At 45.0% G+C, this 26419-nt stretch overlaps 2 protein-coding genes and 1 pseudogene across 13 annotated transcripts in view, besides 3 other annotated features; 1 reads left to right on the top strand and 2 right to left on the bottom strand.

The window, feature by feature from the left end:
* The window catches only part of FKBP1B (FKBP prolyl isomerase 1B), a 30476-nt gene extending 8573 nt beyond the window's left edge, over positions 1-21903 (bottom strand). For 2 of the 11 annotated variants that reach the window (NR_136536.2, XM_017003593.3), the window contains exons 1-4: positions 5223-5368; positions 1160-1207; positions 917-1005; positions 569-636 (exon numbers count right to left, since the gene is read on the bottom strand). Coding sequence is in view for 2 of the 11 variants with exons in the window: in NM_054033.4 (NP_473374.1) it covers positions 1160-1207; positions 5223-5259 (85 nt within the window). In the remaining 9 variants the exon portion in view is untranslated. Of the gene's footprint in view, positions 1-492; positions 637-916; positions 1006-1159; positions 1208-5222; positions 5369-21851 lie in introns of those variants that run through there. The other 9 variants (NR_136538.2, XM_017003596.3, NR_136539.2 and 6 more) reach the window with 6 other exon arrangements.
* Positions 176-470: a silencer, noted in NCBI's record as "tiled region #5215; K562 Repressive DNase matched - State 9:DNaseU". NCBI's record gives its function as "represses a minimal TATA promoter and a strong SV40 promoter by Sharpr-MPRA in K562 cells {active_cell/tissue: K562}" and the evidence as "EXISTENCE:reporter gene assay evidence [ECO:0000049][PMID:27701403]".
* Positions 1079-1270: a silencer, noted in NCBI's record as "fragment chr2:24276709-24276900 (GRCh37/hg19 assembly coordinates)". NCBI's record gives its function as "represses an EF-1alpha promoter that drives an FKBP-Casp9 reporter gene in an ReSE screen in K562 erythroleukemia cells {active_cell/tissue: K562}" and the evidence as "EXISTENCE:reporter gene assay evidence [ECO:0000049][PMID:32094911]".
* Positions 5207-5506: a silencer, noted in NCBI's record as "silent region_11225". NCBI's record gives its function as "represses an Ori minimal core promoter by ATAC-STARR-seq in GM12878 lymphoblastoid cells {active_cell/tissue: GM12878}" and the evidence as "EXISTENCE:reporter gene assay evidence [ECO:0000049][PMID:35858748]".
* Positions 7718-25762, top strand: WDCP (WD repeat and coiled coil containing). Of its 2 annotated transcripts, NM_025203.3 has the most exons (4): positions 7718-7795; positions 15597-17432; positions 22163-22280; positions 23947-25762. In NM_025203.3, the coding sequence occupies exons 2-4, from the start codon at positions 15615-15617 to the stop codon at positions 24174-24176; spliced, it is 2166 nt and encodes a 721-aa protein (NP_079479.1). In that variant the 5' UTR covers positions 7718-7795; positions 15597-15614; the 3' UTR covers positions 24177-25762. The 2 variants fall into 2 exon arrangements, with proteins under 2 accessions (NP_079479.1, NP_001135791.1); NM_001142319.2 differs by lacking the exon at positions 22163-22280.
* Positions 9171-9274, bottom strand: RNU6-370P (RNA, U6 small nuclear 370, pseudogene; annotated as a pseudogene).
* Positions 25763-26419: the final 657 nt, after the last annotated feature.

Genomic DNA, 26419 nt, shown 5'->3' with positions numbered 1-26419 from the left:
GTATGTTCTATGCTTCTCTAGGTGGTAGTCACATAAATGTGATCACTTTGAAAAAATTCATTGACCTAGACATCTTACATTATGTTCTCTACTATATTTATATTTAACTTTAAAGTTTACCAAAAGTCCCATAGTCTCCCGCTATGTTTGATAAGACATAGTCTCTCCCAAGACAGGAGCTGCTGCCCTATGTATGTATTGTGAAAGGACTTTGCAAAAGGATGTTGTGGTTTCAGTAACTTGATAAATACTGGTCTGTCTACAACATGCAAAATTGTTAAATCAATTACACAGGTCAGAGGCCCCAGACGACCCATGGTAATTAGGCCACATCACCAGGAGATAAAACATGGTCCAGCCCACTGACATCAGCGACCAGCAACACAACTGCTGAAAACATCCACACCATCTGCCTAGAATTAACCTTGTGCTTCACACTGGCCCACAGAACTGCTAAAAATGGCCCCATCCGAGTATGTCCTAGGAATTAACCTGGGCTTGCTGTCTGCTAAGTGGCTGTCATCGAGTTTGCCACTTTAGGAAGCAGGTCACAAGGCAGGGTGCTCACCTCCCTTGGAACAAACACCTGCTCATGATCTTCCTGCCAGCAGTCCTGAAGAACTCACTCTACCTCGCCTGCAGATAAAGAGCATCCAACTGGGATCAGTCCCGCTCTGGGCTCCCTCAGTACCCAGAGAAAAGCACTGCCATCACCCCACCCCTCAAATGGCATCGGAGCCTCTGGGTGACTTGTCTGTCCTCTCCCCTCCTCTTCTTCTCTAATGATACTGCAGGATGGAGAGAAAGTCTGCGGGGAGCTCTAGGAGGGATTTCCAAATATCAGACAGACCCAGCAGGGACAGGGGCTCCACCATACCTGCAACAGAAGGAAGGGGACTGAAGGTGTTTGACTCACCTAGAAGCTGGCACCATGGATGGCCCTTGCTGGTAGAAGAGGGAAAGAGTTGGCCTTCCAAGCCTCCTTTATCATTCCCACTAGACTGGCTGGGAGGAGTAGAGGATGGCTGGTCACAGGGAGACCCTGCTGCCTTGGGCTTTAGCCCTGATCCAGAGGCAGGCACCTCTGGAGAGAAGCTCAGAGGACAGCCCTGCCTTGGGAGGGGAAGGACTGGGTGGGGGCTGAGGGGGTGAGACTTACCTGTGTAGTGCACCACACACGTTTGGCCCTTCTTGGGGAATGTCCTTCCTGCAGGGAGACATGAGGGCAGATGAAGGAGTAGGATATTGGAAAAACACCTGGGACATTAAGTATGATCCTGACCAAGAGCTCCAGCCTGCATTCCCCTCCATGCCATGGAGATGCCTGTGGCCCTAGTTCTGGCTCTGGGCCCTGTACGAGCCAGAATGAATCACGTCACCTCTCTGGCCTGGATTTACTTTACCCCCTCAATTTTCTCAATTCTGCTGTCTCCTGGGCTTTCCCACCACCCCACCCCCACTTTCTTTGATTGCCCCTTTTACTTCACATCATCCATTCCACAGACATTTACAGTTGGCCTCCTATGTGCCAGGCCTGGACCAGACTTCAGACATGCAGAGCAATGTATGAACTCATGAGGAAGGTAGGGAAACAGACACACAAATACCAGATTACAATGCAGATTATAATCCATCCATCAAAGATGAATAAACACAATAATTTACAAATATTTGCTGAGAGGCCAGGCATGGTGGCTCACATCTGTAATCTCAGCACTTTGGGAGGCTGAGGTGGGAGGATCACTTGAGCTCAGGAGTTCTAGATCACCCTGGGTAACATAGGGAGACCCCATCTCTAAAAAAAAAAAAAAAAAAAAAAAATCTTTTCAATTAGCTGGGTGTGGTGCCGCATACCTATAGTCCCAGCTACTGAAGAAGCTGAAGTGGAAGGATTGTTTGAGCCCAGGAGGTCAAGGCTGCAGTGAGCTGTGTTCATGCTACTGCACTCTACCCTGGGTGACAGAGCAAGACCCTGTCACAATAAACAAACAGACAAAACAAAACAAAACAAAACCACAAATATTTACTGAGTACCTATGGTGTGCCAAGCCTGTGCCTGATCACAGGGATACAGCAGTGAACACTACAAACAAGATCTCTATCCCTGTTCTTTTAGAGTTTACTTTTTTTTTTTAAGAGTAGGGGTCTCAGTGTGTCACCCAGGCTGGAGTGCAACAGCATGATCTCGGCTCTGTGCAGCCTTGACCTTTCCTGGGCTCAAGCAATCTTTCTTCCTCTGCCTTCTGAGTAGCTAGTACTGCAAGTGCATGCTGCCATGCCCAGCTAATTTTTTTAAAAAAAATTTGTAGAGACAGGGTCTTAACATGTTGTCCAGGTTGGCCTTGAACTCCTGAGCTCAAGAGATTCTCCCACCTCAACCTCCCAAAGTGCTGAGATTATAGGCATGAGCCACCAAACCCGCCCTGGAGTTTATATTCTAATGGACAGAGACAATACTTAAATATACAAAATGATTATGGATTATGATGAATACTCTAAAGAAAATACACACAATGATGTATTAAAGGGAGATGCAGTGGGACAGGCCATTTCAGACAGAGTGGTCCAGGATGGCCTCTTGGAGAAGGTGCCCCCTGGAGCTGGGACTTGAAGGATGAGCAAAATACTGGGAAATAGCACTTGGGAAAGGAGTAACAAGTGCACAGAATCAACACATTTGCAGTGAGCAAGGAGGCTAGGTGCTGGAAAGAAGGGAGGGAGGAGAGAGGTGGGAAGGACATGGATCATGCAGGGCTTGAAGAGCCGGATTTAATACTAAGTGCAATAGGAAACCACTGGAGGGTTTTAAGCCAGAGAATGACATAATCTGAATTAAGATTTTATAACATCACTCTGGCTGCTATGTGTAGGATGGACGGTTAGGCGTCTGTTGCAATAATCCAGACAAGAAATCAATGATAGCTTGATTTAAGGTGGTGGCAGCAGAGAAGAGAGTGAAAGATTGGAGACATATTTTCGAAGCGGAGCTGACAGGTCATGCAATCAGACTGGAAATGGGGTCCAGGATGAGGACAAAGGAGACAACAAGAACGATGCTTGGGTTTTCTGTTTGGGCAACTGGATGAATAGTGCAACTATTTCCTGAGATAGGGAAGACGGGAGGAACAGATTTGTGCGGGTGGCAATCTTGAGATGCCTATTAGACATCTGAGTTTATATTGCAAGTAGGCAGATGAAGAGTCTGCACTGGAGGTATAAATTTGGCTGGAATTTAAAGCTACGGGGCTGGATACAAAGCCTAAGGAAGCCTAACCACAGAGCCGATATTTAGAGGACTCTATGGGATCCTGGAGGAGGGAGCAGCTAACTGACCACAGAAGTCAAGGAAAACATCATAGAGGAGAGAATGGTGAAGCCAGGTCTTGAAAGACAAGTAAGAGTTTGCCAGAGGAAGTGAAAAAACACCATCTGGGAAGAGGGAACAACATGTAACATGTTCAAAGGCCCTCAGTCCAGCAATAGCGGGAACCCTGTCTGTTTCAACTGTGTCACCTTAGGGCCTAGCACACACGTTCAATAAATATTTGCTGAACGAGTGGTGTGTTTGACAACTTGCAGGCAGCTTGGGAAAGCTGGAGGAAAAAGTTAGTGGTGGGCTTAGGACAGGTGGTGAGAGATGAAGCTCTAGTGTGGAAGATGAGAATAGACCATAGCACCAAAGGCCCCTCCTGGGGGAGAGGGAAGAATCATTAAAACATCTTCTGCCTGAGGGAGGGGCATAGTCAAACATGCATTTTTTTTCTTTTTTTTTTTTGAGATAGAGTCTTGCTCTGTCACCCAGGCTGGAGTGCAATGGCACAATCTCAGCTCACTGCAACCTCTGGCTCCCAGGGTCAAGTGATTCTCCTGCCCCAGCCTCCCGAGTAGCTGGGATTACAGGTGCGTACCACCATGCCCAGCTAATTTTTGTATTTTTAGTAGAGACGGGGTTTCAACATGTTGGTCAGGCTGGTCTCGAACTCCTGACCTTGTGATCCGCCCGCCTCAGCCTCCCAAAGTGCTGGGATTACAGGCGTGAGCCACTGCATTTTAAGAAGAGTCTTCAGGCTATGATATAGAAAGGGAGTGAATATGAGATTGGGGACGAGATTGAAAGCAGGGAGGAGAGACTGAAGATGGGGAGATTAGCTCAGGGGCTGCTGAGGGATGAAAAGGCCTCAGGGAGATGCTTTCTGGGACCCAGCAGCAATGTTTCCTGCGTGGGCAAAGAAGCCTGTACTCCAGGGGATATCTGAAGTAGTGGCTGGGATTGGACAAGGAAGATGGCCTGGAGCCAAGAAGTTATCCAATTTCCTGGGGAGGGGAGCTGTTCATATTAATAATATCTGATATGAAGTTTGCCCATCAAACCCTGCAGACAATGGGGGCTTTGGTATTAATTAAATTTCAAGAAATAAAGAAATGGCTATTCCTTGCACACCCAGACCCAGTAATACAAGGACTTGGGAAAGTGAGACACGGAAGGGGGATAAAGAGGATCACTTAGGAGAGAAGGTGGGAAGCGAGAGTTCTGTTTTGGACTTGCTGACCAGGGAGCACCCTGGGACGTCCAGGGAGAGGTTCGGCCGTAGGTCGCAGGGCTGGGCTTAGAAGCTTCAATGTGGAGGCCATGGGAGTGGACAGGGTGGCCAGGGAGTCTGAAAGCGGCGGCAGGATAAAGCGAGATCCGGAAGCGGGCAAGGGAGCGCTTCCCCCTTCCCCAGCCTGGGTCTGTCCCCACAGCCGCTCACAGCCCGGCCCGCAGGGAAGCGACCGAGGGGAGGCCCGGCGGGGGACGCGCTAGGAGGAGGTCCCCGAGCAGCGGGTATCCGAGAGCAGGTCCTGCTTTCCAGAGCTCGCCGAGTAGGGCAGGGAAAGCGAAGCCGAAACCCAGGCTGGGGTATCAGCAGCAGCGGATAACCGAACGACTGCAGCCGCGACAGGAGAAGCCCGGGGCGGTGGCGGGCCGCAGACCCCCGCCTCCGGGCCGCAGACCCCCGCCTCCGAGCTGCCGCCTACATTCCCCTAGGTGAGCGCGGAAGAGGATGGCGGAGGATGGTCTCCTAGACCCCCAAGAATCCCGTCCGGCGTCTCCGCCTGCCTTCCCCATCCAGCCCCCCGACCCTTCAGCACCCTCCACGCCACCTCCGAATCAGACCCCCGCCCTCCGGGCTCCGCCCCGGGACCCCTCCCCTCCCCTGGCTCCGGAGGGAGCCCGGTACCGTCTCCGGGGGAGATGGTCTCGATCTCCACGCCCATAGCGGTCCCACAGGCCCCGCCTCTGGGGGGTCCCTGCTGCTGCCCGACCCCGGCTCGGCTCCGGCCCCAGCCCCGCCGTCGCTCCGGCTCGCCTCCTCGCCGCCACTGCAGAGCCGGAGGAGGTGCGGCTGGAGTCGGGACCTGCGCGGGGAGGGGCCACTGGCAAGGGGGCGGCGGGGCGGAGCCGCGCGGAAAGGTGGGGTCGGCCGGGGCGGGGCCCGGGGGAAGGGACCCCGCCCGGCTGTTAGCGAGCCTGGCCCCGCCTGACGACATTAACCCACTGACCAGGGAGCGTGGTAAGCACAACCACATCCTCCATCCATCCATTCATTCGCGCATCCGTCCAATAGACATTTATTTAGCATCTAATCTGTAGTAAGCTCTGGGAAGTCAACCCAGTCCTACAGACTTGTGGGGGGTGGGGGGCAGAAGGGGCAAAGGCCGGCGATTAAACCATCATTTTATTTTTATTTTTATTTTAGACAGAGGATCTTGCTCTGTCGCCCAGGCTGGAGTCCAGTGGCGCGATCATAGCTCACAGCAACCTCGAACTCTTAGGCTCAAGCGATCCTTCTTCCTCAGCCTCCACCCAAGTAGCTGGGACTAGAGGCGCGAGCAACCACGCCCAGCTAATCTTTTATTTTTTATTTTTATTTTTTGTAGAAACGGGGTCTCGCTGTGTTGCTATCTAATGAAACCATCACTTTAATTAGATGCGCTCAGTGCCGTGCAGTTCAGAGCGTTGCGGAAGCACAGAAGAGGTTCCTACCCTCGCTAGGCGTCCTGGATCTGTAGGAGCAGAGCTGGGGGAGGGAGGGAGGACACCAGTAATTGCTGACTCTCCCCCATACCCCTAAACCCCTGTTCTCCATCTCGTGTAGTTCTGCTCGACGCACATTTATTGGGTACTCAATTTTCAAGGCAAAGAAATGCGCCCTGGGGATACCAATAGAATTAAGACAGGTTGGCTGTCTTCCAGGTACTAAGTCTGAGAGGGACGGGGACACACAGTTACTGCATGGAGTGATTAGTGCTGTGGAATGAATGAATGAATATGTAAATGAATTCTACTTTGAGTTCCTCCTCCACCAAAAAATACATTCAGGAATCTAGAAAAATATTTTTTGGAGGAGGTAATATTTGTTTAAAGGGTAATTGGGACTTTTAAAATTTTTTCCCCCTCATTATTACCTGCATTGTTCCAAAAATTGATGTGAGGCCAAGTATATCAATTTTTGGAACAATGGCTCACACCTGTAATCTCAACACTGTAGGAGACCGAGGCAGGAGGATTGCTTGAGCCTAGAAGTTCAAGACCAGCCTGGGTAACATAGCGAGATCCCGTCTCTCTCTCTCTCCTTTTTTTTTTTTTTTTTTTTGAGACAGAATCTTCACTCTGTCGCCAGGATGGAGTGCAGTGGCACAATCTCGGCTCACTGCAACCTCCGCCTCCCAGGTTCAAGCGATTCTCGTGCCTCAGTCTCCCAAGTAGCTGGGATTACAGGCGTGAGACACCAGCGTTCGGCTAATTTTTAAATTTTTAGTAGAGACAGGGTTTCACCATGTTGGCCAGGCTGGTCTCGAACTCCCGACCTCAGGTTATCCGCCCGCCTCAGCCTCCCAAAGTGCTGGGATTACAGGCATGCCATCTTTATTTTTAAAAAAAGAAAAGAAAAGAAAAAGAAAAACATAAAAACTGATGTGAAGATATGATTCTCCTGAGTGGCACTGGAAGATAGGCATGGGGAGAAAAGCCTGGCAAACTGGTCCAGAATGAGCCCCAAGGGTGTTCTTCCTCCATTTCCTCATCCCCACTCTCCCGGATGCTTAGGTCCCAGATGAGGTTGTCTGCATCCCTGAAGGTGTTCTGGCTGTGTTGTTAAAGAAAGATGATTGTCGACTGTACTGTGAGGGTCAGGACCTGGAATTCCTCATAGGTCTGAAGAAGCCTAAGGGACGCACTAAATCCATAGGCTGCGGCCAGAGCAGGCACGCTTAGGGTCGGGGTAGAACAGGGATTTGTAGCTGGGACAGGCCCATGCAGCGGCTTCAGCTCAATGCACAGTATTTTGTGTACAGATAAGAACATTTTCCTGAGAGATTTTATCAGATTTTAAAGAAGGTTAAAAAGCCGTGGTGATCCTAGGGCTCCTGGACTCCTTAGACAAGAGAACCGACGAGAAGTGGGGAAAGAGCTCAAGTGCTTAAGGGAGGGAAAATGTGGCGGGCTTGCGGTCGGTGGTTTTACGGGGACTACCACTCCCAGCGATCCGTGCGGCAGAGCCAGAGCTTATTGGCCAGTGGGACGAACCCTCTGCTAATGTGCATATTCAAAAGCCAATAGACGGGGCCATCTCGGAGCGTGCCTATCCTATCAGAGGACCACCCACCTATCAGAGGACCGATATCACCGCCCACCTATCAGAGGACTGAGGGCCGGTGCTTCCGGTGGCTGCCCAGAACTTCTTATGTGCGGCGGCGTGATGTTGGGCGGCCACAGAGAGATTGGTGTTTTTGTGAGGCAGTGAGACCTAAGGTATTTCATCTCCACTGCTGCCGGGCCTGGCGGGTGTGGGGAGGCTGTAGGGGGTCAGGAGGGAAGTGGATCGGCTCTTGGTGGGTAGGGGGCGGGAAGGAGGAGATTCAGGCGTGCAGAGAGGATGAGGAGAATGGGGCGGGCCGCGTGTGAGGGGTCGCGGGATGAGGATCGAGCTAGGGGTGGGTGTAAATGAGGGATTATGACCGTGACTCGTGAATAACACTCCTGGGAATATGTCCCAAGGAAGTCATCCAAAGTCAGGAAATGCTTTAAGCCTTAAGACCTCGGTCCGAGCTTTATTTATAGCGGGTAGCGGGATAAAGTTGGGTACAGCTAGGAGCAGTTCAGTACATTATGTCACTTCACTGAGTGTATGTGAAGTGGCCTCTAAAACTAATTTATTAAACTTTTAAATAACATAGGGAAATGCTAATATATAATGTTAGATGAAAACCGTGATACAAAGTTGCACAGTATAACTGAAAAAGTTTGACAGCCAAACTATGCATAGAAGAGTCTAGAGGGATTAGTCATAATTTTCTTTGGATGAATGTTTTTTCGTTAACTCTTCTTAATTTTTTTCTTGTGTATGATTTTTGTTTCCAAATAAGTGTAAAGAACTTGAAATCATTTTATAGTGGAAATACAATAAACTTGGAAAACAAGTTGGGGGAGGGATGTACTTTTGTTTAAACCTGCTGGAAATGCCAGTTCACCTGAATCCCTTGATTCTCGTCATGAGTTGTCTTTAAAGAAGATGAAAAACAGAATTAAATGGTTATATACTGAGCACCGGCTCTTAGTTTTCTGACCACCTCTCCGGAGACCTGAACTAATACAGTGGTCTTTTCCCTCCTAAAACACCCAGGGTTCTTGATTTCATGTTCTCCAAAAAACTTATACTCTGGAGATTGTGAAACAATAGGTATACAATTAGTTTCAGGCAAAATCAGTAGCGTTGGGGAATGCCTGAAGAGCATTTAAACCTTGGTCCTCCTGGCCCTCTGATCTTATACAGTGAGGTTCTCCACTACCTTGACTTTAATGATTAACCCTATGTCAGTGATTTCCAAATCCTTACCTCTGACTGCCTAAGGTACATTGGTACCATGTAGACATCTTACATGAAGCACATGTTAATTTCAATTTGTCACATACTACACACGTTCCTCCCCTACTGCCCCCACCCCCACCTCCCCAACAGGGTCTCACTCTGTCACCCAGGCTGGAATGCAGTGGTGTGATCATAGCTTACTGTAACCTTGAACTCCTGAGCTCAAATCCTCTCAGCCTCCATAGTAACTAGGACTGCAGGTGTGGGACGCTGCACCCAGCTAATTTTTATTTTTATTTTTATTATTTTTTATTTTCCTTTTTTATGGAACGCTTCACAAATTTGCAAGTCATCCCTGTGCAGGGGCCATGCTACGCTCTGTATCATTTCAGTCTTAGTATATGTGCTGCCAAAGTGAGCACCCACCTCATTTTTAAAAATTTTTCTGTAGAATTGGGGTCTCCCTGTGTTGCCTAGGCTGGTCTTGAAATACTGGCATCAAGTGATCCTCCCACCTCAGCCTCCCAAAGTGCTGGGATTACAGGTGTTAGCCACTGTGCCTGCCCTTCCTTTCCTTTCTTCCTTCCCTCCCCCTCCCCCTTCCTTCCTTCCTTCCTTCCTTCCTCTCTCTCTCTCTTTTTTTTTTTTTTTTTTTTGAGATGGAGTCTTGCTCTGTCACCCAGGCTGGAGTGCAGTGGCGCAAACTCGGCTCACTGCAACCTCCGCCAGCCGGGTTCAAGCGATTCTCCTGCTGCAGCCTCCCAAGTAGCTGGAACTACAGGCACACACCACCACGCCCAGCTAATATTGTATTTTTAGTAGAGACAGGGTTTCACCATGTTGGCCAGGGTGGTGTCGAACTCCTGACCTCAGATGATCCACCTGCCTCAGCCTCCCAAAGTGCTGGGATTACAGGCATGAGGCACCACACCCAGCCTGCCCTGCCTTCCTTGCCTTTGAAACATGCTCTGGTTAATGGTTCAGCAGTTTCTCAAGCTAAAAATCTGGGTGTTATCCTTAATTCTTTTTTCCTCCTCACTACTTATATCCTATCGATATCACTGTCTATTCCATCTGCCTTAAAAGCATCTCTTGAATATGGCCTTCTTTCTCTACTGAAATAGTTGCAAACTTGCTTCATTTTCACTTTGTGGCATTCAAATTACTTGTCAACTTTCTTCCTTCTCAGGTCCATTCTGCATATTGTTACTTGAATATATGCTGGTTCCCCCAAGATTCCAAATTCCTCAGCATGCCCTTTATGATCAGAGAATAAACTTAGAAAGATATATCAATATCTGATAATATAAGGTTTTAATTGCCTTGTTAAGACATTTTGAGGCTTTTTATATACTGTAGATGTGGGGATTCATCAAGGGTGTTTATGCAGAAGAGCAAAATGATCACCGCTGTGCTTTTTTTTTTTTTTTTTTTTTTTTAAAGATAATTCTGCCCAACAACACATAGTATGCAGGCTCATTTGGAAAGTAGAGACTGGTATCAAGGGGACCTCTCCTTGTTTTACCCTAATAAAAAGGGAGAAGTCAGAACCTGGGCTAACACAGGAGTAGAAAGGAATGGAGCAGATTTTTGTAATTATCACTGCGTTTTTGAGAAAAATGTGCCACATTTCTTCTTGTTACCGAAGATGACAATATTAAAATTCATTCTTCTAAAAACCTCAGTAAACTGGCCCATGCAGTGGCTCACGCCTGTAATCCTAGCACTTTGGGAGGCCAAGGCAGGAGGATCACTTGAGGTCAGGAGTTCAAGACCAGCCTGGCCAACATGGTGAAACCCAGTCTCTACTAAAAATATAAAAATTAGCTGGGCATGGTGGTGGGCCCCTATCCCAGTTCCTTGGGAGGCTGAGGCACAAGAATCACTTGAACCCAGGAAGCAGAGGTTGCAGTGAGCCCAGATCATGCCACTGCACTCCAGCCTGGGTAACGGAGCAAGACTGTGCCCCCACGCCCCCCCCAAAAAAAAACCTCAGTAAACTTATGTTTGTTTTTCTCTTATTCCCAAATCCTTGTCTTGTGCTACCCTGGCCACACACACCCTCATTGACATTAGACAGAATTTGGTATCCTAAAATATATAAATCGACTTGGATGTAATTGGCCCATTAGGAATTTTCTCTGCCCATGAAAGTGTATCATGGCATTATTTATCAATAAAATTCTTTTTAAAGTACATAAGTAGATATTAGGGAGAAAACATTATTATCTTTCATAAGACCAGTGGGACAGAGATCACAGTTTTCTTCATTAGTAATGACTGGACTTTTTTCTCCGTTTAGCAAGCCGCTGCAGAACCACTGAATCTGACATCATATATAAAAGCATAATAGACCCTTTTTTTTTTTAAGTGAAAGATCCTAAGAGCAAGGACAAAGCTAGCAAGGAGATATGCGAAATAATTTACAGATAAGCAAATCACCAGGTTGGTAGAGAATACATTTCATTGGATTTAGAGTCTGAAGACAACTTCTCAAGTTCTGCCTTTGACACTTACTCAGTAAAACAAGGCTGAAAAATGTCATTTAGATTCAGTGACAGGGAAGCACTGGTGGCCTGGTGAGAGATGTTTTGGAGAAGAAATTGGAATGGAATTCATTTTAAGTATATTAAGAAGAGAGTGAGTGGTGAAAAATATGAGTACTGCCAGTTTACACAACTATTTGATAACTAATAAGGTTAAACATCACTTTATATATGTTTGTAGATTGTTGGGGGGTTTTTTGTTTTGTTTTGTTTTGTTTTAAGTAGAGACAGTATCTTGCTGTGTTGTCCAGGCTGATCTCTGGTCTCGAACTCCAGGGCTCAAGTGATCCTTCTGCCTTGGCCTCCTAAATTGTTGGGATTACAGGCATGAGCCACTGTGCCTGGCCAACAGTCATTTTGTTTAGTTTTGTTTTTGAGACCGAGTCTCACTCTGTTGTCCAGGCTACAGTGCAGTGGTGCCATCTTGGCTTACCGTAACATCTGCCTCCCAGGTTCAAGCAATTCTCGTGTCTCAGCCTCCCAAGTAGCTGGGATTACAGGAGTGTGCCATCACTCCTGGCTAATTTTTTTGTATTTTTAGTAGAGACGAGGTTTCGCCATGTTGGCCAGGCTGATCTCGAAATCCTGACCTCAGGTGATCCACCCGCCTTGGCCTGCCAAAGTGCTCGGATTAAAGGCATGAGCCACCTGGCCCAGTAATTTTTTTTTTTTTTTTTGAGACGGAGTTTCACTCTTTTTGCCCAGGCTGGAGTGTAATGGCATGATCTCAGCTCACTGCAACCTCCGCCTCCTGGGTTCAAGTGATTCTCCTGCCTCAGCCTCCTGAGTAGCTGGAATTACAGGCATGTGCCACCACGCCCAGCTAATTTTGTATTTTTAGTAGAGACGGGGTTTCTCCATGTTGGTCAGGCTGGTCTCGAACTCCTGATGGTCAGGTGATCTGCCCGCCTCGGCCTCCCAAAATGCTAGGATTACAGGCGTGAGCCGCCGCGCCTGGCTCTGGCCCAGTAATTGTTTTTATACTAAATTTTTTTTTTTTTGAGACAGAGTTTCACTCTTGTTGCCCAGGCTGGAGTGCCATGGCACGATCTCGGCTCACTGCAACCTCCACCTCCCGGGTTCAAGCGATTCTCCTGCCTCAGCCTCCTGAGTAGCTGGGATTACAGGCATGCGCCACCACAGCCAGCTAATTTTTTTTTTTTTTTTTTTTTTTTGAGACGGAGTATTGCTCTGTCACCCAGGCTGGAGTGCAGTGGTGCGATCTCGATTCACTGCAACCTCTGCCTCCAGGGTTCACGCCATTCTCCTGCCTCAGCCTTCCGAGTAGCTGGGACTACAGGCGCCCGCCAACACACCTGGCTAATTTTTGTATTTTTAGTAGAGACAGGGTTTCACCGTGTTAGCCAGGATGGTCTCGATCTCCTGACCTCGTGATCCGCCTGCCTCGGCCTCCCAAAGTGCTGGGATTACAGGCGTGAGCCACTGCGCCCGGCCAATTTTTTGTATTTTTAGTAGAGATGGGGTTTCTCCACGTTGGTCAGGCTGGTTTTGAGCTCCTGACCTCACGTGATCTGCCCTTCTCGGGCTCCCAAAGTGCTGGGATTACAGGCGTGAGCTGCCACACCCAGGCTTTATACTAAAATTAGTCTTTCTCAGTCTGTGTTTATTATTGCAACATTTTATTCTTATATCCATTATTATATATTTATGTATCCACTGATTGATAGTATTTCAAAATATAATTTTCCTGAGGCAGTTTTTCATTTTACATTAAATAGTATTTTTTATGTTTATATTTCAAAGTGAGTATTCAGGTATTACAGCTTATCCAAATAATGTCCTTATTCTCCCTACTGACTATATGTATCTTTTTTTTTTTTTTTTTTTTTTTGAGACAGAGTTTCACTTTTGTTGCCCAGGCTGGAGTGCAGTGGCGCCATCTGAGCTCACTGCAACCTCCGCCTCCCCTCCCAGGTTCAAGCAATTGTCCAGCCTCAGCCTCCCGAGTAGCTGGGATTACAGGCACCTGCCACCGAGCCCAGCTAATTTTTGTATTTTGAGTAGAGATGGGGTTTCACCATGTTGGCCAGGCTGGTCTCGAACTCCTGACCTCAGGTAATCTGCCTGCCTGGGCCTCCCAAAGTGCTGGGATTACACTTTGGGTGTAATGGGTGTAAGTGCTGGGTGGCTCATGCCTATGAGCCACCATGCCTGGCTACCCCATTTTTTGTTTAAAAGAAAAGCCATAACATGTAAAATCCTATATATCTTTGTGTCTTTCTTTAACATTTTCAGAGGCTAAACACCAAATTGTTAATGATGCTTTTATCAAGGCTTTGAAATGTTGGAAAGGAGGAGGAGCTAAAGGGGCTGGCACTGAGTAGGAGGGAACAGTTTTTTTTTTTTTTTGGAGATAGAGTTTTGCTCCTGTCGCCCAGGCTGAAGTGCAATGGTGCAATTTTGGCTCACTGTAATCTCTACCTCCTGGGTTCAAGTGATTCTCCTGCCTCAGCCTCCTGAGTAGCTGGGATTACAGGCATGCGCCACCATGCCCGGCTAATTTTTGTATTATTATTAGAAACAGGGTTACACCATGTTGGCCAGGCTGGTCTCAAACTCCTGACCTCAGGTGATCCACCCGCCTCAGCCTCCCAAAGTGCTGGGATTACAAGCATGAGCCACCGTGCCCAGCCTAAGCATGTACTTGTTTTTTGTTGTTGTTGTTTCTTTTTTGAGGTGGAGTTTCGCTGTTGTTACCCAGGCTGGAGTGCAATGGCACGATCTCAGCTCACTGTAGCCTCTGCCTCCCCAGTTCAAACGATTCTCCTGCCTCAGCCTTCTAAGTAGCTGGGAGTATAGGCATGCACCACCACACTTGGCTAATTTTGTATTTTTAGTAGAGATGGGGTTTCTGCATGTTGGTCAGGCTGGGATCGAACTCCCAACCTCAGGTGATCCTCCCGTCTCAGCCTCCCAAAGTACTGGGATTATAGGCGTGAGTCACCACGCCCAGCCCTAAGCATATGCTTCTTTAGTGATTCAAATGCCTGGGGGAAAAATATTCAGGGTGAAAAAATGAAGATAATACTTGCCTAACCTACTTTACATTATTTTAAAAGATTATTGTAAGATAAAATGCAATAGGGAATGTGAAAATGTTCTGAAAATTATTAAGTGCTGTTGAATAAGATGAAGTAGAAGTAGAAATAGAAACAGTGATTTTTGAGTGTCATTTCAATAGAGGGATAAAAGCCACTTTGGAAGGATTTGAAATAAGTGCTAATAAAGTCAGAGATGTGCATATCAGTTATTCATTGATTTGGCAGTGAAAGGACGAATAGAAATTAGATGATGGAGGAGACTTTTCTTAAATTTTTAATTGGAAAATTTTCTAACTTAAAAGTTGAAAGTACCATAAATACTAACATAGCCTCAATCTAGACTCTACAATTATTAACATTTTGCTACATTTGTTTTCTTTCTGTGTGTCTATAGAAAATTTGGGTTTTTTTTGTCAAACCATTTGAAAGCACATTGTAGGCATCATGACATTTTACCCCAAGTGCTTCAACATGCTTATTTAAATAATAAGGACCTTGTCCTGCATAACCACAATACCATGTTCACACTTAAGAAAATTAATAACTCTGGCCGGGCGCGGGAGCTCATGCCTATAATCCCAGCACTTTGGGAGGCTGAGGTGGGTGGATTGCCTGAGGTCAGGAGTTTGAGACCAGCCTGGCCAACATAGTGAAACCCCGTCTCTACTAAAAATAAAAAAAAAATTAGCTGGGCCTGGTGGCAGGCACCTGTAATCCCAGCTACTCTGGAGGCTGAGGCAGAAGAATCGCTTGAACCCAGGAGGCAGAGGTTGAAGTGCGCCGAGATTGTGCCATTGCACTTCAGCCTGAGCAACAAGAGTGAGACTCCGTCTCAAAAAAAAAAAGAAGAAAAATAATAACTCTACAATATTTTCTGATATCCATTCCATACTCAGATTTCCCCAGTTCTAAAAATCTTCATTAGGTAGAAGATTTTATTTCTTCAAGATCCAAAGTATATACATTGCATTTGCCTGATAGCTCAGTAGTCTCTTAATTTATAATACTCCCCCTGTCCTTTTGTCTCTCCACATTATTAACCTGGGAAGGGGCTAAGCCGTTGTCTTACCAAATGTCCTACATTCTAGATTTGTCTAGATTTCTCATGGTGTAACTTTCCTTCTTAATCATTTCAGGTAACCTTTATCAAAAGGATGGAGTTGGGAAAAGGAAAACTACTCAGGACTGGACTGAATGCGTTGCATCAAGCAGTGCATCCGATCCATGGCCTTGCCTGGACCGATGGGAATCAAGTTGTCCTAACTGATTTGCGGCTTCACAGTGGAGAGGTCAAGTTTGGGGACTCCAAAGTCATTGGACAGTTTGAATGTGTCTGTGGGTTGTCCTGGGCCCCACCTGTTGCAGATGATACACCTGTTCTACTCGCTGTCCAGCATGAGAAGCATGTCACTGTGTGGCAGCTGTGTCCCAGCCCTATGGAGTCAAGCAAATGGCTGACGTCTCAGACTTGTGAGATTAGAGGATCACTACCTATCCTTCCCCAGGGCTGTGTGTGGCACCCAAAATGTGCTATTCTGACTGTGTTGACTGCTCAGGATGTCTCCATTTTCCCTAATGTTCACTCTGATGATTCCCAGGTAAAGGCAGACATCAACACCCAGGGCCGCATTCACTGTGCATGTTGGACCCAGGATGGCCTGAGGCTGGTGGTGGCAGTAGGCAGCAGCCTGCATTCTTATATTTGGGACAGCGCTCAGAAGACTCTTCACAGGTGCTCCTCCTGCCTGGTGTTTGATGTGGACAGCCACGTCTGCTCCATCACAGCAACTGTGGACTCACAGGTTGCTATAGCTACTGAGCTTCCATTGGATAAGATCTGTGGCTTAAATGCATCTGAAACCTTTAATATCCCACCTAACAGTAAAGACATGACTCCGTATGCTTTACCAGTTATTGGTGAAGTACGCTCTATGGATAAAGAGGCAACTGATTCTGAAACAAATTCTGAAGTATCAGTTTCTTCTTCCTATTTAGAACCTCTGGATCTAACTCACATACATTTCAATCAACATAAGTCTGAGGGTAATTCTCTTATTTGTCTAAGAAAAAAGGACTACTTGACAGGAACTGGCCAAGATTCTTCACATTTGGTCCTTGTGACCTTTAAGAAGGCAGTTACCATGACGAGAAAAGTCACTATTCCAGGCATTCTGGTTCCTGATCTGATAGCATTTAATCTTAAAGCCCACGTAGTGGCAGTGGCTTCCAACACTTGTAATATAATTTTGATCTACTCTGTCATTCCATCTTCAGTCCCAAACATCCAGCAAATTCGATTAGAGAACACTGAAAGACCAAAAGGGATATGTTTCTTGACAGACCAACTATTACTAATTTTGGTAGGAAAACAAAAACTCACTGATACAACATTTCTTCCTTCTTCAAAGTCTGATCAGTATGCCATTAGCTTGATTGTTAGAGAAATAATGTTGGAAGAAGAACCTTCAATAACATCAGGTGAAAGCCAGACTACCTACTCTACTTTCAGTGCTCCGTTAAATAAAGCAAATAGAAAAAAGTTAATTGAAAGTCTTTCCCCAGATTTTTGTCACCAAAACAAAGGGCTGTTGCTGACAGTTAATACCAGTAGTCAGAATGGAAGGCCTGGAAGAACACTTATTAAAGAAATCCAGAGTCCTCTGTCTAGTATCTGTGATGGCTCCATAGCTCTAGATGCTGAGCCTGTTACCCAGCCAGCATCGCTGCCCAGACACAGCAGCACACCAGACCACACCAGCACACTGGAGCCTCCTCGTTTGCCTCAAAGAAAGAACTTACAAAGTGAAAAGGAAACTTATCAGCTGTCTAAGGAAGTGGAAATTTTATCTAGGAACCTGGTTGAAATGCAACGGTGTCTTTCTGAACTTACAAACCGTCTGCATAATGGGAAGAAATCCTCTTCAGTGTATCCACTCTCTCAAGATCTTCCTTATGTTCACATCATTTACCAGGTAAATTCTCCTTTGAGGAACTACCACTATACATAAAAGCTCCTGCAGCCGGTGAGTACTGCAAGAAACGTATTGATGAGGAAGATGGTGCTCTAACTGAGCTTCACTAAGCTGGGCATGTTATGTTACAGGCAAGTTGGTACACCTTTGCAGGTTGGTTGGTTTTTAGCCTGCCAACCAGATAGGCGCACATATCAGTCTGCATCATGATTTTATCAGGTGCATGACGTGGAAAAATAAATGTCTGCACTAATTCGGGCAATTTATATTTAGAAAAAAAATCATGTTATTTCATTGTGACAACCTTTTCCTTATATAATAGAGATACTCCTCCAGTTATAAAAAAGGTTATGTTGCTGGGCTCCATGGCTCACGCCTGTAATCCTAGCACTTTGGGAGGCCGAGGCAAGTGGATCACCTGAGGTCAGGAGTTCGAGACCAGCCTGGCCAATGTGGTGAAACCCTGTCTCTAACAAAAATATAAAAATTAGCTGGGCATGGTGATGGGCGCCTGTAATCCCAGCTACTTGGGAAAGCAGGAGTATCACTTGAGCCCGGGAGGCACAGGTTTCAGTGAGCCGAGACTGTGCCACTGCACTCCAGCCTGGGCAACAGGGCGAGACTCCGTCTCAAAGAAAAAGGAAAAGGTTATGTTCATTTAAAATGTTTTGATGCATTTCTTTATGCATGCATGTCCAAACATTATATAAGTGGGATCATATTATACATGTTTTTATCATGGACACTTTCCTCCTATATAAAATATGGCCTTGCCCCATCTTCCCCTTAATCCGCTGTAACCAGCAGCTTAACATGGATCCTTTCGTGACTTTCTCCATGGTCACATGATCTAACACAGGTCTTTGTGTACATAGATATATAGGTATGTGGGAATGGTTTGTCATTGTTTTTACAAAAATAGGGTGATATGGTGCACTCTTTACTTCATACTGAGAGTATGCTCTTTATTTAGCCATTCCCTTGTTGATTGACATTCACTTTGTTTTTAGTTTTTAGCTACTCCAAATGATGCTGCAGTAGTACTCTTATATGTATCCATTCATATTAGTACCTTTATTTCTGTTGGATTGGTTCCCAGAAGTAGAAATGCAAATTTGAAGAGTATATGTGTTTCTACTTTTAATTGAGTTACCAGATTGCCTCTCAAAGATTTTTACTTAACAGTGCATCATCACACGCCCGCCAGCTATGTATAAGGCTGTCCTTTTCCTCGTATGTCACCAATCTGATCAGTGACCCTCCTGCTTCAGCCTCCTGAGCAGCTGAGACTACAAGCACATGCCACCACACTTGGCTAATTTTTTTTTTTTTTAGCAGAGACAGGATCTTGCTATGTTGCCTAGGCTGATCATGACCTCCTGGGCTCAAGTGATAGTCTTGCCTCAGCCTCCCAAAGTGCTGGGATTACAGGTGTGTGCCACTGCATGTGGCCCCAACCCTACATTTTTTTAAAGAGGATTTTTGCCACATTAACTACATGGAGTTTTCAGTAGTAGAGTTTTAATTTTTTTTTTTAAGTCACAGCTTTGCTGTGAGGAGCATTTTATTTTATTTATTTATTTATTTATTTATTTATTTATTTATTTATTTTTGAGACGGAGTCTCTGTCACCAGGCTGGAGTGCAGTGGCGCGATCTCAGCTCGCTGCAACCTCCAACTCCCAGGTTCTAGCAATTCTCCTGCCTCAGCCTCCCAAGTAGCTGGGATTACAGGCACGTGCCACCACACCTGGCTAATTTTTGTATTCTTAGTAGAGGCGGGGTTTCACCGTGTTGGCCAGGATGAGCTCAATCTCCTGACCTTGTGATCTGCCCGCCTTGGCCTCCCAGAGTGCTGAGATTACACGTGTAAGCCACTGCGCCCGGCCTAATTTTTTTTTAATTAAAAAAAATTTTTTTTTAACTATAGAGACAAGGTCTTGCTATGTTGCCCAGGCTTGTTTGGAAGTCCTGGGCTCAAGCAGTCCTCCTGCTTCAGCCTCCCAAAGCGCTGGGATTACAGGTGTGAGCCACTGCACCCAGCCATAGTTTTGATTTTTTTAAAATTATTTTATTTATAAATGTGATAACTGGTTTGGATTTCTTTCCTACTATGACTTTTTAAAGAGTTTGTTTTCTTTTTCTTCTGTCTTTTTTTAATAGGTAATTCATTTATTTGGTTTAAAAAGCAAAACTGTATTTTAATAAAAACTGTATACCAAGAACTCTTATTCCTACCCTATGTTTCTTCAGCCTGTTCTCCTTTCCTCCTTTAGGTAACCATTTTTATTTTTATTTCTTTATGCAGATACTAGCAGACTTTAGTTATGTATTTTTATTTCCCCTTTTGTTACACAAAAGGGAAGGTGATATACACACCTTTTCATTTTCCATTTAATAGTATGTCCTAGAGAGCTCTTTATATCAGCACACAGAGCTCTTTTTTCATCTTTTTTTCCACAGCTGCATAGTATTTTTTTTTCCTAATTACAAAAGTAATATATACTTGTTGAGGAAAAAAATTTTACCATTACAGAAAGTAAAAATTTTCCATAATCCAACCTTTAGAGAAAATCACAGATATAGCTAAATATTTTATTAGATGTTAGATGTAAATATTTCCATATTTTTTCTGTACATTTATCTAATCCAAAAAAAATCTAATATAAAAATATATTATTTTTAAAATTTTCTTTAAATAGGCTATTTTACTTGCAAACAATAATATATCTTTCTGTTTTTAAAACACTTATAAATGTAAAATTTTATATTTTTAAAAACTAAGGTTAAAACAACCATGTTTGGCCAGGCACAGTGGCTTAAACCTGTAACCCCAGAACTTTGGGAGGCCGAGATGGGTAGATCACTTGAGTCCAGGAGTTCGAGACCAGCCTGGGCAGCATGGCAAAACCCTGTCTCTACCGAAAAATACAAAAATTAGCCAGCCGTGATGGCACCCACCTGTTTTCCCAGCTACTTGGGAGGCTGAGGTGTGAGGATCACCTAAGCTGAGGAGGTTGAGGCTGCAGTGAGCTGTGATCGTGCCACTGCACGCCAGCCTGGGAAACAGAGCAAGACTCTGTCTCAAAAAAAAAAAAAAAAAGTTTTGTTGCCCTTTCAATTCCTCAGTTTTTTAGTTTATAATTATGTCATCCAACCAAGCTGTTGTCAGTAGTTATCTCTGGAGGATAGAATTTTGGGGGCTTTACTGTCTGCATTATATATTTCTGTTATATTTTTATTTTATTTATTTATTTTTAGATAGAGCTTTGCTTTGTCACCCAGGCCGGAGTGCAGTGGCGCGATCTTGGCTCACTGCAACCTCCGCCTCCTGGGTTCAAGCGATTCTCTGCCTCAGCCACCCAGGTAGTTGGGATTACAGGTGTGCACCACCACACCCAGCTAATTTTTGTATTTATAGTAGAGATGGGGTTTCACCATGTTGGCCAGGCTGGTCTCGAACTCCTGACCTCAAGTGATCCACCCGCCTTGGCCTTCCAAAGTTCTGGGATTACAGGCGTGAGCCACCACACCCGGCCCTATTATACTTTTAAAAAATTGATCATTTATTCCTTTTGTAATGAGAAAAGTAAAAGTTACACAATAATCAAAAGCAAGAAATAGTTTCCCCTGTAATTTCAGAAATTACATTTCATAAGACGTGAAATAAATGATTAGTTGGTTTTGACTTTTACAGTTTATTCCTGTGACTTCATTTAAAAATATTAGTGGACATATTCTTTGAGTGGTTCATCCTACCACAGTGATGTATAGTTTTATTTTCTTTTTATGAGATGGGGTCTTGCCATGTTGCCCAGGCTGCTCTCCAATACCTGGGCTCAAGCAATCCATGCACTCTGGCCTCCCAAAGTGCTTAACAACAAAATAAGTTAGACACATAACTTATACAACTGTCCTTCATTTATTTATTTATTTAGAGATGGAGTCTGTCTCTGTCACTCAGCCTGGAGTACAGTGGCACCTTCTCAGCTCACTGCAACCTTTGCCTCCTGGGTTCAAGTGATTCTCCTACCTCAGCCTCCCGAGTAGCTGGGACTACAAGTGTGTACCACCATGCCTGGCTAACTTTTTTATTTTTTGTAAAGACAGGGTTTTGCCATATTGCCCAGGCTGGTCTTGAACTCCTGGGCTCAAGTGATCTGTCCATCTTAGCCTCCCAAACTTTTGGTACTAAGGGGTGAGCCACTGTGCCCAGCCAATTTTTAATGACTTTAAAATTTACAAATCATTTATTTTTATTTGTGCTTTTTCTAAGCTATGTGAATTTTGACCATGGTTTGTTTATTTTATGCAAATCCTCTGCTACTCTACCACTTAGGACACTCTCTCGGCATTTTTTTTCCTAATAAACCATGAGGTGTCTTAGCTATATCTGAAACAGCCAAGAAGGTGTTCTTACCGTCAGATTGTGTCTCTCAGGCTGCTGTCCATCATCCTTTTAGTGTTATTAGTTGTATTCTAGGAGAGCCAGTTCCTAGTGATGAAGAACCCTGAGGAAAGAGTAGAACAAAAGGAAAAATAAGGCTGTTTTGTTCGGATTTTTTAGTTGTGTTAAATAATGCAGCAAAGAGCTCCTTAAAACTGAAGTCCAGTTGATTAGTGGTAATAGATAAGAATTTTTTAAAAAACTATTTACACATTCCTTTCTTAAGAAATGTTAACTCGATTACTTCTGCAATCAGTTTAACAACTTTTATTTTTTATTTGCAGAAACCTTATTATCTAGGTCCTGTTGTTGAAAAAAGAGCGGTGCTTCTCTGTGATGGTAAACTAAGGCTCAGTACAGTTCAGCAGACTTTTGGCCTTTCTCTCATTGAAATGCTACATGGTAGGTCGTGCTCAGAAATTGACCCTAGCTAACATCCTTGCCTCCCCCACCATCTGTTTTAACTATGCCGGTAATGAAAATGAGGGATACCAACCATTCAGTAATTCACTGGATAGTTAACAAGTAATCTATTATTATTATTATTATTGAGACAGGGTCTTGCTCTGTTGCCCAGGCCAGAGTGCCTCGGTGTGATCATAGCTCACTGCAGCCTCGAACTCCTGAGCTCAAGCAATCCTCCCATCTCAGACTCCCAACTAGTGAGAACTATAGGTGTTCACTACCATGCCCAGCCAAGTTTTGTTTGTTTGTTTGTTTGTTTTTTGGAGATGGAGTCTTGCTCTGCCACCCGGTCCTGGAGTACAGTGGCGCAGTCTCAGCTCACTGCAACCTCCGCCTCCCGGGTTCAAGCAATTCTCCTGTCTCAGCCTCCTGAGTAGCTGGGACTACAGGCGCACGCTGCCATGCCTGGCTAATTTTTTGTATTTTCGTAGAGACGGGTTTCACTGTGTTGCCCAGGCTGAGCTCAGGCAATCCGCCTGCCTCGGCCTCCCAAAGTGCTGGGATTAAAGGCGTGAGCCACTGCACCCAGCCTCAGCCAAGTTTAAAAAAAATGTTTGTAGATAACGGGGTCTCACTCTGTTGCCCAGGCTGGTCTTGAACTCCTGACCTCAAGTGATCCGTCCACCTTGGCCTCCCAAAGTGCTATGATTACTGGCATAAGCCACCACACCCAGCCTTAACAAATATTATTAATTGCCTACTATATACCCAGGCCTAGTATAGGTGCCAAAACATATGGAAAATATGCACCCTGCCCTTAGGGAACTTACAGCCTAGCTGGAAAAGTTAAATGTACATATGAAAAAATAAGAAAAGACTTACAAAGCAGTGTATAACAACTGCAAGGAAGTAACAGAAAGCCTCATTTATTTCTGTTGCACTAAAATGTAAAGATCATAGCAGCATTGCAGAATGTTTCTTTCTTTCTTTTTTTTTTTTTGAGACCGAGTCTCACTCTGTCACCCAGGCTGGAATGCAGTGGCATGATCTCGGCTCACTGCAACCTCCGCCTCCTGGGTTCAAGCGATTCTCCTGCCTCAGCCTCCCGAGTAGCTGGGACTACAGGCACATGCCACCACGCCTGGCTAATATTTTGTATTTTTAGTAGAAATGGGGTTTCACCATGTTAGCCAGGATGGTCTCGATCTCCTGACCTCGAGATCTGCCCGCCTCGGCCTCCCAAAGTGGTGGGATTATAGGCGTGAGCCACTGCGCCCGGCCTACAGAATATTTCTTTGAGGAGTTGCCATTCTAATATGGAGTAAACATGGATGTTCAAAGGATATTCCTAAGTGGCAAGGGACTGAGTCATGCCAGATTCATCAGATGTGGAGCATGGTTGTTTTCTTATGCCTCATTCTTGTAACAGTAGCCACCACATTGAACATCAAATATCATTTCATTTTTTCCCCTTTTTCTCCTACCTGACCCTAAGTAATACCCAGTCTTCCCAATACCCCATTCTCTGTAAAATCTTACAAGGATTGAGTTGAATATTATCAACTACTATATTCCTTCACTCAGAAAAAAAAATTTGTAGTCATATGTTTCATCATAAGAATAATATATACTAAATTGCCTGTGTATTTATTTTTATTTGCAGATTCCCACTGGATTCTTCTCTCTGCTGACAGTGAGGGCTTTATCCCGTTAACCTTCACAGCCACACAGGAAATAATCATAAGAGATGGCAGCCTGTCCAGGTCAGATGTCTTCAGAGACTCTTTTTCTCACAGTCCAGGTGCTGTTTCTTCTCTTAAAGTCTTTACAGGCCTTGCTGCCCCCAGTTTAGATACCACTGGCTGTTGTAACCATGTAGATGGCATGGCTTGATATCTGCAGTGTCCTTGCTGTGTAGCTCTTCAGATGAGACCATTACAAACAAGGCCTGCTTGACACTGGACACTCGCCAATGAGACTCCCACTGCACTCAGGCGAAGCGCTTGCCATGGTCGGCTCTCCTGGTTTCCCCCTGTTTCCCCTGAGCTGAGGCTCGCTGCTGTGTAGCAGAGCTCAGTCTTTATTAGATGGCTCCGAAAGTGGTGTTTATGTATTCATGACTGTGTGGTTTTGACTAAGGGCAGAATTCTCAGAACAAAACAATATTATGGTGCCATATGGATGGTGTTTTATGGTTTCTCTGAGGCTTTGTGTCCCTTGTCCAAAGCTGCATTGAAGCTGTCTTAGGAGCACTTAAAAGATACCTTGGCATTGTTATAGGTCTTTTTCTTGGCTTCAAGAGGAGGTTGAGGAGTCTGCTGGGGGGCATGTGCTCTAGCATATTAACCTCAAACCAGCAAGAATTAGCAGAGCTCCAAGGAGGACCAGAGACCCACTGGCTTCTGCTCTCAGGAACAGGAAGTGGCTCTGATGTTGCCTGGACCTCCCAGAATTTAAACCAAACCCTCTTGCTTCCTTAACAAATTCTGGCTGACGAAGGTCCAGGTACTCTTAAAAACTGGCCCTGGGAAAATTTTGAATGAAATTTCAAGGGAATTTGTCCCCTCTGGGTTCCACTTGAGGTTGTGCCGATGCTGCTACCACACTGTCGAGCCCAGGTAAGTCCTACTGCAGGATTTTGTGCTGTGGCCACTCATGAGTGTCCCTGAAATAACTTTTTTTTTTTTTAAATCCAGTTTTGGGATCACGCAACTTTCCTATTTTTCTCCCAGTAGTCAGCTCCCTTAGTTAACTTGTCACTTTAATTTGATATTTTTATTTTCTCTCCTTTTAAGTCTTAGAGACCAGCAGAGAATCTGTGAGAGAAAGTATTTCAGGAAGTTAGAAATTCAACCGAATCTGAGGTAGTCCTAAAAAGTGCCATTTTGTTTCACTTATGGGCTAAAGTACCAGCTTAGTCAGGTAAGAGCCCTGACCCACTTCAGATGGTAACACCACTTCTCACTGCCTTCAGATGGAATCACAGATTTCAGTCACGGCGCATAACAAATTGATCAGTGAGTGGCTAGGCATCTGCAGATAAATTGTTTCAGCCATAGAAGCTCCATTAGCACATATGCTTCCTTTTCCCCCCTTCCTTTAAAATCATCTGGAAAGAAACTATTTTGTGCCCTTGGGGACTCCTGTCTGTCTGTTACAGTTTACCAAGATGGAGCTGGGTTAGGAAAGAAGTGAGGGCCCATTTTGTGGTTCAAGTGCACTAGACAGCTGCTGGGGTAGGAAGCACAGGCAATGTCTGTAATCAGCTGTGGGAGAGCAGTGACTGAGAACAGTCTGAGGCCTGGCTCCACTTGGAAGTATCTGGGGTGCGATGAAATCACAATTATCTTGAAGCCTAAAGAGGGAACTACAAGACTGTTAACTAAGATCAATGTGGGCACCTAAAAGGGTATGTTAAAATCACCATTTCTCAGGTCAAAATACTGTGAATAAGTCTTCAATAAAATCACTAATGGTTATTGTGGCTGTTTTGGATGTTTTGGTAGTATTTTCTTTGCGATTATTGCTGCTATAGAGGAACCGGCAATAATCTTGCAGTTATATATGCATATGTTGTCTGTATTCCTTCTTCTGGTGGACAGTCCAGAATATAAATGGTTCTTTACAACAAATCTGATTCCATGACAACTCTCATACAAGAGATGTTTCCTTGACCTCTGCTATTATTACAGTCACTGGAACAATAGAAAATAATCTCATATTTGCTGGCTTTGGAGGCAGGGAGAAAAGAGCTAAATTCTTCAAAGGATTGTTTAATGTTCTACAGTCATGCACCACCTCGCCTGGCTAATGCTTGTATTTTTAGTAGAGACGGGGTTTCACCATGTTGGCCAGGATAGTCTCGAACTCCTGCCGGCCTCCTCTTTCTTTATACCTTGTGTGTTGGACAAACATTTTAATTTTAAGGAAGCCACACATTTACCTATCTTCCTTTTTATGGAAGTTTTGTCTTCATATTTATGTCTTTAATCAGTATTCTGCTGGATAATTTTATTTGTTTGGGGGGTTTTTGTTGTTGTTGTTGTTGTTTTTTGAGACGGAGTCTTACTCTGTCGCCCAGGCTGGAGTGCATTGGCACAATCTTGGCTCACTGCAACCTCCAACTCCCGGGTTCA

Source organism: Homo sapiens, chromosome 2, assembly GCF_000001405.40.
Source record: "Homo sapiens chromosome 2, GRCh38.p14 Primary Assembly".
Taxonomy (NCBI): Eukaryota; Metazoa; Chordata; class Mammalia; order Primates; family Hominidae; genus Homo; species Homo sapiens.
The sequence above is the reverse complement of the archived record's forward strand: the minus strand, read 5'-3'. Positions and strand labels throughout refer to the sequence as shown.

What these genes read in the sequence shown, in the direction of transcription:
- WDCP (NM_025203.3), top strand. Translation starts at nt 15,615, where the DNA reads ATGGAGTTGGGAAAAGGAAAACTACTCAGGACTGGACTGAATGCGTTG. An exon ending in ATGTTCACATCATTTACCAG is followed by an intron (nt 17,433 to 22,162) that starts GTAAATTCTCCT and finishes TTTTATTTGCAG; the next exon opens with AAACCTTATTATCTAGGTCC. An exon ending in TCTCATTGAAATGCTACATG is followed by an intron (nt 22,281 to 23,946) that starts GTAGGTCGTGCT and finishes TTTTATTTGCAG; the next exon opens with ATTCCCACTGGATTCTTCTC.